At 41.6% G+C, this 8,911-nt stretch overlaps 1 pseudogene; it reads right to left on the minus strand.

Annotated features, from left to right (window-relative positions):
• Positions 2,010-3,561, minus strand: HNRNPA3P17 (HNRNPA3 pseudogene 17; annotated as a pseudogene).

Below are 8,911 nucleotides of genomic sequence, written 5' to 3' on the forward strand. Positions count from 1 at the left end.
TACAATTCTCCAGTGGTTTTTGCCTGCCCTTGTGGAGTTTCACCTTATTCCTGTCTGGCCACATACACAGCAAAGACTCAAAGAGACCCCTATGCAGATTTTTGGAGCTCTTTTCAGCACAGCTCCCTCATCTCTAGAACTCTACCTCGTAACATTCAGCCCCCTTGGCCTCTCTGATCCCTACATCTGCTTGACTCAATAGACTCTGTTTAGGATCCCCCTCTTTGCATCTACAGTCTGGTTATTTCCAGGAAGATATCAGGGGCAATCATAGTGATCACCTTGTTTGTTTCAACTTCTTTTAGTGATTAAATCTTGTCCTACCTGATGTCCAATGTTTGAAAAATAAAAGCTTTTTACGTTCTGCATATTTTTCTGGGTTTTTGTGGGAGAGAATGTCCAATCCTTGCTATTCCATTGCAGCCAGAGGCAGAATTTCTCTCACTACAGATTTTTGAAGTTTTCTTTTACTTCCATGCTCTTCTATGTCCCTTGTTGGGGTTTGTTTGTTTTGGTCTCTGGCTTTCATGGTAGAGGCTTTCCTCAAATGTCAGTGTGCCTTTGATGTCTGTATTTACAGTGAGGCATAACAAAGCTGATCTGAAGCTTTACATGAATGGGCAGGCTTTGTCAAATGGTGGGTCTCAATTGAGGGGGACAGGTGGGGACTTGACCTATTCACTGGCCAGTCCCTGTAGGTCAGTATCTCATAGGTTTTTCATTTAAAGATGATTAATAACATAGGAGAGGAATTCTCCAATTCTCTGACTGGAATTATAAGCCTTGCTGCTAGACTTCTGATAACTAAACAGAGAATGAATTTTTGAGGGGCTTATATTTAGGAATATTTCCCTTTCCATATGGTATGGCTTCTCACTTTCACCCTCTGCTGTTCCAAGACTAGGTCTTTTTTGGTTTAACCTCTCCAAAGAGTTAACTTCCCATCTGAGGCAGCTGTGCAGGGGGTGCATAGACTGGCTGTGTGAGGTAGGGGAGGGAATCTATGGAGTGTCTAGAGCTTTTAAAATCTGTACCAATCCTCCTTCATTCTGTACTTCCGCATTTAGAGATAACTTATGTATCTAGTTCCTGAGATTTTTCTTGGATTCTGCTATAGAAATTAACTTGCTTTTTATTCACTCTCTCCCCGGAGGGTTAGAGTTTATCTTTCACTAGTCTGCTAAGTCAGCTACCATGCATCTATTAGCTTTCTCAGATCCAAAATGTTGAATTTTCTTGTTTGTTACTATCTCCTATTTTCTTTGTCCTTGTGGCTTTATGCTTTTTTTTTTTTTTTTTTTTTTGAGATGGAGTCTCCCTCTGTCACCCAGGCTGGAGTGCAGTGGCATGATCTCAGCTCACTGAAATCTCTGTCTCCCGGGTTCAAGCAATTCTCTGCCTCAGCCTCCAGAGTAGCTGGGATTACAGGTGCCCACCACCATGCCCAGCTAATTTTTTTTTTTTGTATTTTTAGTAGAGAGGGGGTTTCACCATCTTGGCCAGGCAGGTCTTGAACTCCTGACCTTGTGATCCACCTGCCTCTGCCTCCCAAAGTGCTGGGATTACAGGCATAAGCCACTGCACCCAGCTGCTCTATGCATTTTTATATAAATTATTAGGCTTCTTTTTTTTGAAAAGTTAAAAACTCTTTAATTCTTTATTCCTGGTACCACTATCACAATTTACAGGGCCATACACCTGATGTAACGAAAAGAAAAAAAAAAGTTACAACAGATAAAAGACTTCAGGAATGTACATCTAATTGACACTACATTGCATTAATCAATAGCTGTATTTTTTGCAAACTGTGGTTATGACAGTCCTGAACAAGAAGGGTTTCCTATTTAAGCTGCAGTAACTTTTCTAACTATGGATAATTGTTCCTTTTATGGCAGATTTTTCCAGTTCCTCTAATGCATTTGAGACGACTGTCTCAAAGTAACCTGCTGCTTTCCTGGTAACTCCTCACTTTAACTCCTGCTAGGAACTGAAGCCCTTTTTTGCTGCTTTTTAGAACCTTCTGTTATTATATCCACCACTTTTACCACCAGATCCATAATCACCACCATAGGGACTGCCCGAGCTTCTTCCACCCAGAAAGCCTCCTTTCATGGGTCCATAATTTGATTGCTGTTGTCCACTATAATTTCCAAAATCACTATACTTCCCACCACCATCATAGTTACCACTGTCAAAATTTCCTCCTTCATTGCAACCATCACATCCTCCACCATTGCCACCATATCCACCACCTTGGTTTTCATGTCCTGGTCCACCACCACCATAGCCCCTTATTTTACTATAACCAAGACCACCACCATAGTTGCCACCATCACTTCCAAATCCATTATATTCACCATCACCTCCTCTGCAACTATCTCTGCTTCCAGCACCTCCATCATAGCCTCCTCTTCCACCAAAGTTTTCACCACAGCCAAAATTACCTCCACCGCCTCCAAATTTTGCTCTGTGACAATTACAACTTTATCAACTGTATTATGATCCTAAAAAGTTATGGCAAAGCCAGGTGCAGTGGCTCATGCCTCCCAAGCACTTTAGGGGCCAAGGTGGGAGGATCGCTTGATCCAGGGAGTTTGAGACCAGCCTGAGCCACATAAGGAGACCCCATCTCTACAAAAAATTTAAAAATCAGCTGGGTGTAATGGCACATGTCTTTGCTCCCAGCTACTTGGGAGGCTGAGGTGGGATGATTGCTTGAGCCCATGAGGTTGAGTGAGCTATGATCAGGCCACTGCACTCCAGCCTGGGTGATAAAGTGAGATCCTGTCTCGAAATAAAAAATAAATAAAAGTAAATTTTAAAAAAGCAAATCCCCTCTTTTTTCCACTCTGCCTGCCTTCCATAACATCTATGGTTTAAATAGTGCCATACTTTTCTTTCCTCTCTCTCTCTCTTTCCTTCTTTTCTTTTTTTGAGACAGGGTCTCTCTCTGTCACCCAGGCTGGAATGTAGTCGTGCAATCTTGGCTCACTGCACCCTCTACCTCCCAGGCTCAAGTAATCCTCCCATCTCAGCCTCCCAAGTAGCTGGGACCACAGGCACGTGCCACTATGCGCGGCTAATTTTTGCATTTTTTTGTAGAGACGGGGTTTCACTATGTTGCCCAGTCTGGTCTGTCCCAAACTCCTGGGCTCAAGCAATCCACCCACTTCGGCCTCCCAAAGCATTTGGAATTACAAACGTGAGCCACTGCACCTGGCCTTGCCATGCTCTTCAAATTACATTCTTCTCTATCTTCCTTGATATCACAAACAAAGATTTTCTTCATGGTTAGATGGGCACCAGGCCTTATAGAATCCTCTCTAGAAACAGCTCTCTTTGGTTCCAGTACACACCTGTCAGCCTTGTGTGTCCACCTCTTTAACACGAGAGTAAGTCACAAAACCAAAGCCTCTGGAATGTGTTGTTTGGGAGTCTCTCATTATCACACAGCCTGTGAGTATGTGCCATTTCTCAAACTATCGTCTGTATTTTCAAAGCTGTGAACACAGTAAACAGTTTTCTCAAGTGCTCTGGTTCCTTTGGATCATGTGCCTCCATTTTGAGCCCGGACTCGCCTTTTCCAAATTGAGTTCAATTTGGGACTGAGAGGAAGAGCAGTCTTCTTTTTTAAGAATAGTTTTAGGTCTACAGAAAAATCGAGCAGAAAGCACAGAGAGTTTCCATATGCTTCCTACCCCAGCGGTGTCCCCTATCATTGTTTTGCATCAGTGTGGTACATTTGTTGCAAGTAATGGGCTAGTAATAATATTGATACAACATTATTAAAGTCTATAATCTACATTAGAGACTTGATGCTGTTTTATTCTTCTCCTCTCATTGGAAAGTGGCAGAAATAAATGTAAGTATTAAATCTTCGAGGGTTAACAGAAAGTCTTCTATGTAGGCCTTTGGCTACTTCTCTCCTTTTTGTCACCCTCAAAATTCTAGAGTCATATGTATTCCCTTTTTCCCTTCATCTTTTCCATCTCTTCATTATGCTTCAACCCATTGTACTTTATCTTCTCTGTCATTTTACTAAAATATATCTTTCCACAGAAAACAATACCTCCTTTATTACTAAGTTCAAGTATGCATTATTATTCCTTATCAAATTTAACTTTGTAGCAGCACAGGACACTGTTAACCCTTTCTCCCTTCTTGAATTATTTTTTACTTAACTTCCCAACTTGGTATCTTACCTTCCTGATTCCCAGCTACTCTAATCATTGATCCTTTACTTTCTCTACATTAGCCCCATTCTCTCTCTCTCTCTCTCTCTCTCTCTCTCTGCTTTAGCCAGTCTCTAAGATGGTCCTCAATGATTCCCAACTCTTGGTATTCACATTCTTGTGTGTCACCTTCCTCCATTGACCTGGGTTGATCCATGTGACCAGTAAAATAGAACAGAAGTGATGGTATGTCATTTCCAAGATTAAGTTATAAAAGATGTTGCATTTTTTTTTTGTCTTGGTCTTGCTCTCTTTCTCCTCTAGACTGCTCCATGAGGGCTGCATGAAGCAGCCACATAATTTACCATTACAACCTCTGGCAAATAGTAAGTGCTCAACTCATATTTGCTGAGTCAATTTATATAAGAACCTTTCCACATTTTATTGCTTCCTCTCTCCCCCTCCTACGAATTTCTATAGCACTTACTGAACGCATTTTGACATCTAGCACATTTTGTATTTATTATTTTATAAAAGGGCTTGGCTCAGTTGAGCCTTCTGAAGGAATGTTCCCTCACCTACTATGTGGCTGGCACTGGGCTAGTTGCAGGTCAATCGAAGCTCATCTTGATCATCCTCCTAGAGAAGGAGCTCCTTGTAGGTGAGTGGGGCCAAGCCCTGGTCACCTGTATGCTTCCCAGGGAACCTAGCCTAGGAGCCTGTAGAGTAGCATAAAAACGATATTAAAATGGGTTGGGTGTCGTGGCTCACACCTGTAATCCCAGCACTTTGGGAGGCCGAGGCTGGCGGATCACTTGAGGTCAGGAGTTTGAGACCAGCCTGGCCAACATGGTGAAACTCCATCTCTACTAAAAATACAAAAATTAGCCCCATGTGGTGGCACACACCTATAGTCCCAGCTACTCTCCTTGGGAGGCTGAGGCAAGAGAATCACTTGAACCCAGGAGGCGGAGGTTGGAGTGAGCCAAGATCGCGCGCCACTGCACTCCAGCCTGGGTGACCAAGCAAGACCCTGTCTCAAAACAACAACAACAACAACAACTATAGTAAAATGAACATTTACCTGGAAATCTCAAATTCTGAGTTCAATCTTTGACCCTTAAGGCTGTGACTCTGGGCAAGTCACTCCACAAATGTGAACTTATTTCCTCATTGTGATAAAGATATAGTAATTATACTTTTTACCCAAGGAGTCACTGGGTAGCTCAGATATGTCAAACCCTTATTTCCTCACTTGTCATAGGTCACTTATTGTCAGATGAATCATGGATTTCATAATATATTTTGCATTTGTGTTGGGAATGGGGTGTGAAGAGCATGATTTTAACCATCTATATCAATTATAAAACATTCAGATTTCAGTAACTTTAACATAAGAAAATGTTTCTTTGAATCAAGACAACACGTTATCTATTGAAGTGTTCAAGTGTTCTGAAGTTGGAAAACCATTGTAAAACTGGGAGCTCTAATTATGTCACATTCAAACAGATGTGTTCTGAATTAATGACTGAGTTGATTTTCCTCTTTTTTGTTCAGTCATGTGTTAAGGATTCGTTCTGTTTTATTATTGTTATGAAACATTGCAAACACATACAAAAGTGAAAGCAATGCCTTCCCATGGATCTGATATCCAGCTGCAACAAAAATCAACACAAGGTCACTCTGATTTCATCTATATCTCTACTCAATACTCTCCACCCCCCACCATCCCTATGGGCTATTTTCAAGCAAATCTCAGGTCTCATATAATTTCATTTGTAAATACTTTAAAGGAGTATTGTTTAATAGCCATTTACCTTCCACCGTCTTCTAGTCAGAGATAAACTAAGTTTTCTTAGAGGTGTTTGCAAGCTTAGTTCACATTGCCTACCCTCCTGAAAGATCTTTATTAACCAAGTTGAAAAATACACCTTCTTAAGAAGGCCCCTTCCCCAATGGTTACTGGGGGTGGAAGGTAATCTTAAAATCATTACTTGGGGAGTAAAATGCTGGTGGTTCCCACATTTCTGAATACCTTTCCATTTTAAAACCAGTTCTTAATGCAGTAGACGAGATCAGAAACTGACCTACGTAAGTTTGTGATTTTTTTTTTTGTTAGAGTGCTGATTTCTTCTTAACTTTTTTGTTTGCTTTATCTCCATGGGTTTAATCATTACATGATATGGTTCTAATGATAGCATGTTGTGTCATTTTAGGGACACTATTTTCTGCAAACTTTTTTACTCAGAGTGTTTTCTGACCATAATGCATTACAAAATGTACTATATAGATGTGAATATATGCTTAGAATTAAAAATAAAAATCCATGGATAAGTTTTCAAAATAATGTTGCCACTCACTGTATGTTTCAAAAGAGATGGGGTTTCACTATGTTGCTCAGTCTGGTCTGTCCCAAACTCCTGGGCTCAAGCAATCCACCCACTTCGGCATCCCAAAGCATTTGGAATTACAAATGTGAGCCACTGCACCTGGCCTTGCCATGCTTTTCAAATTACACTCTTCTCCATCTTCCTTTTCAAAATAATGTTGCCACTCACTATATGTTAAATGTTAAACATTTTACAGATTCAAATGCAGTAGGGATTCTCTGAAAAAGTTTTATCTTACTAACAGCTTTCAGATTATCAGTACTAGTTGTATGGCTTAAACACAGCCACATGTAAATACTTACTTAGATGAAGCTATGGCTAATCACATATGTAACACAATCAGTTTCATGTAGTGGTTTGATCACTCGTGTATTCAAGACTATATAAACAGGGATGAATTTGAGGAAGTTGGAGTGATGGAGTGAGAAAAGTTTGTTTTTGCAGCAGTAGCAGTAGAAGGGGCAGGCCGATTCAGTAAACAAGCACACATTTCAGAATGCAAACTGCATTCTCCAAGCTGGCACCATGGTTTTACGGTGCTAGGGATGTTTACTGCTTGTTGGGTTTGCAGCTTTATAAACAGTGCTCCTTGGAGTTCTCTGCTTGCTATTCTGAAACATATTTGAGTTTTGCAACCGAGAAGTAAATGACTTTGATTTCCAAAATCAGTCAGTCATTTTTCAGTGTTGTGATAGGAGATTCATTTGAATTCACTTCTTCAGAGATGCAGGAGCCAATCAGGATCCTGTTGCAGTGAAAATGATTCTTTTATTGAAACCCCAGCTTCCTTTAAAAGAAGCCAAAGAGTACTGAATTACAGAACTGCCATACAGCCTTCCCTTTATTCTTTCCATCACCCAGGCCACAGGAAAAAAAAAAAAAAGACAAACTTTTGTTCTTATTTTCACAAGTTATCACATGGTTTGGAAACTTCAGGGCATTTCTGAAACTTCATTGGTATGTGCCAGAAAAGTCCTCTTTAACACACCAGGTTGAATGAAAGACAGTTTGAGATGTTAATTTCCATTTACTGCAGAAAAAATATATTTAATGCATTAAGGAAATGTCTAGCTTAAAGAAATTGCCCACTTTTGAAACAAATGGTTGGAGGCCTGAGGTCCAAAGCTCTAAAATCAGTTAACAAATGTTTATTGAACACCTATTTTGAACTAGGCTGTTGAAGAAGTTCAAAAGTCTAAGATAAATTCCCACTTTCAACTCACCTACAGTCTAGTTGGGCAGAAAAAATCCAAACTCAGGGGACAATGCAAGAGTTAGATAGTAAAACCAGACAAATACACAAGCAATGAAACACGACACCATATGGTTGGGTTTAGAAAAGTGTTTCAGGCAATACATATTGTAGAGGCTTAGGGATCACAGTAATCTGAAAATCCCTGGAAAATATTCACAAAGAAGGTAGACCATTGGGATGGGTTTGAAAACATAGATAAGAATCAGATAACCTTAAGAGGAAGGAGGAAGCAAACAGTGAGTCTGGTTGTAATAGAGAAGGGAGTGGGAGAGGTTAAGGAGGGTGGGAAGGGGCCAGGTTGGCAAATCCTTAGTGGTAAGGCCTGGCTGTGGGGCTGAAGATGATTCTAAGGGGTCCAAGGTCAACAGCAGTGTTTAAAATTAGATTGCCAAGTGCATGGATTCCCTTTCCTTTCCTCCTTTTCTGTCCTTTAAAAGCAGAACCTGATTAGACAGTCTGGGACATTCCCAGCCCTAGGCTAAAAAGCAGCGATTGAGGCACAAAGTATTCTTGGCCCTGAAGTTGAACCTCTGGGGATGGAGCTCAGGGAAGTCATAGGGAGTTTGGGCCCAGGTAGGATCAGACCTATCCGCAGGCTTACATAGGCTCCAGTGATTAAAGCTCAGCTTCCTGAATATGCCCCGAGGATAAAAGAGACTTTTCCGAGTGAAAGGCATTTTCCAAGGCGCTCTCAACGGGAATGTCTGAGATAGCGAACTGCGGCTGCAGAGCACCAGCTGAACGCACACACACAAGTGTCTTCTCACGGTATGATTAGTGTTCACAGGTTTCGTCTAGCTCATCAGAAATGAAGAATAGCGATGATGAAGTGACATGTCACCGGGAGGGTTGAAAAAGAAAAAGTGCGTAAGAGGGTCCCAAAAAGAACCAGCTTCCGTGTAGACGGGTCTGCAGAATCTGCCGTCTCCCGTCTTCTGGGTCCCCTGGCCCGCCCGGAGTGGGGACAAGGAAATGGAAAGCCCGGCTCACCCGGCTCTCCTCCCTCGCAGCCAGCAGATGGCTCCCGGGCTCTCTCGCGAGCCCGCTCGCCCCCTCTCCAGACGCAGGGCTTTTGCGGTTTGGGAGGGAGGCTG

Source organism: Homo sapiens, chromosome 6 (genome assembly GCF_000001405.40).
Source record: "Homo sapiens chromosome 6, GRCh38.p14 Primary Assembly".
In the NCBI taxonomy this organism is placed as follows: domain Eukaryota; kingdom Metazoa; phylum Chordata; class Mammalia; order Primates; family Hominidae; genus Homo; species Homo sapiens.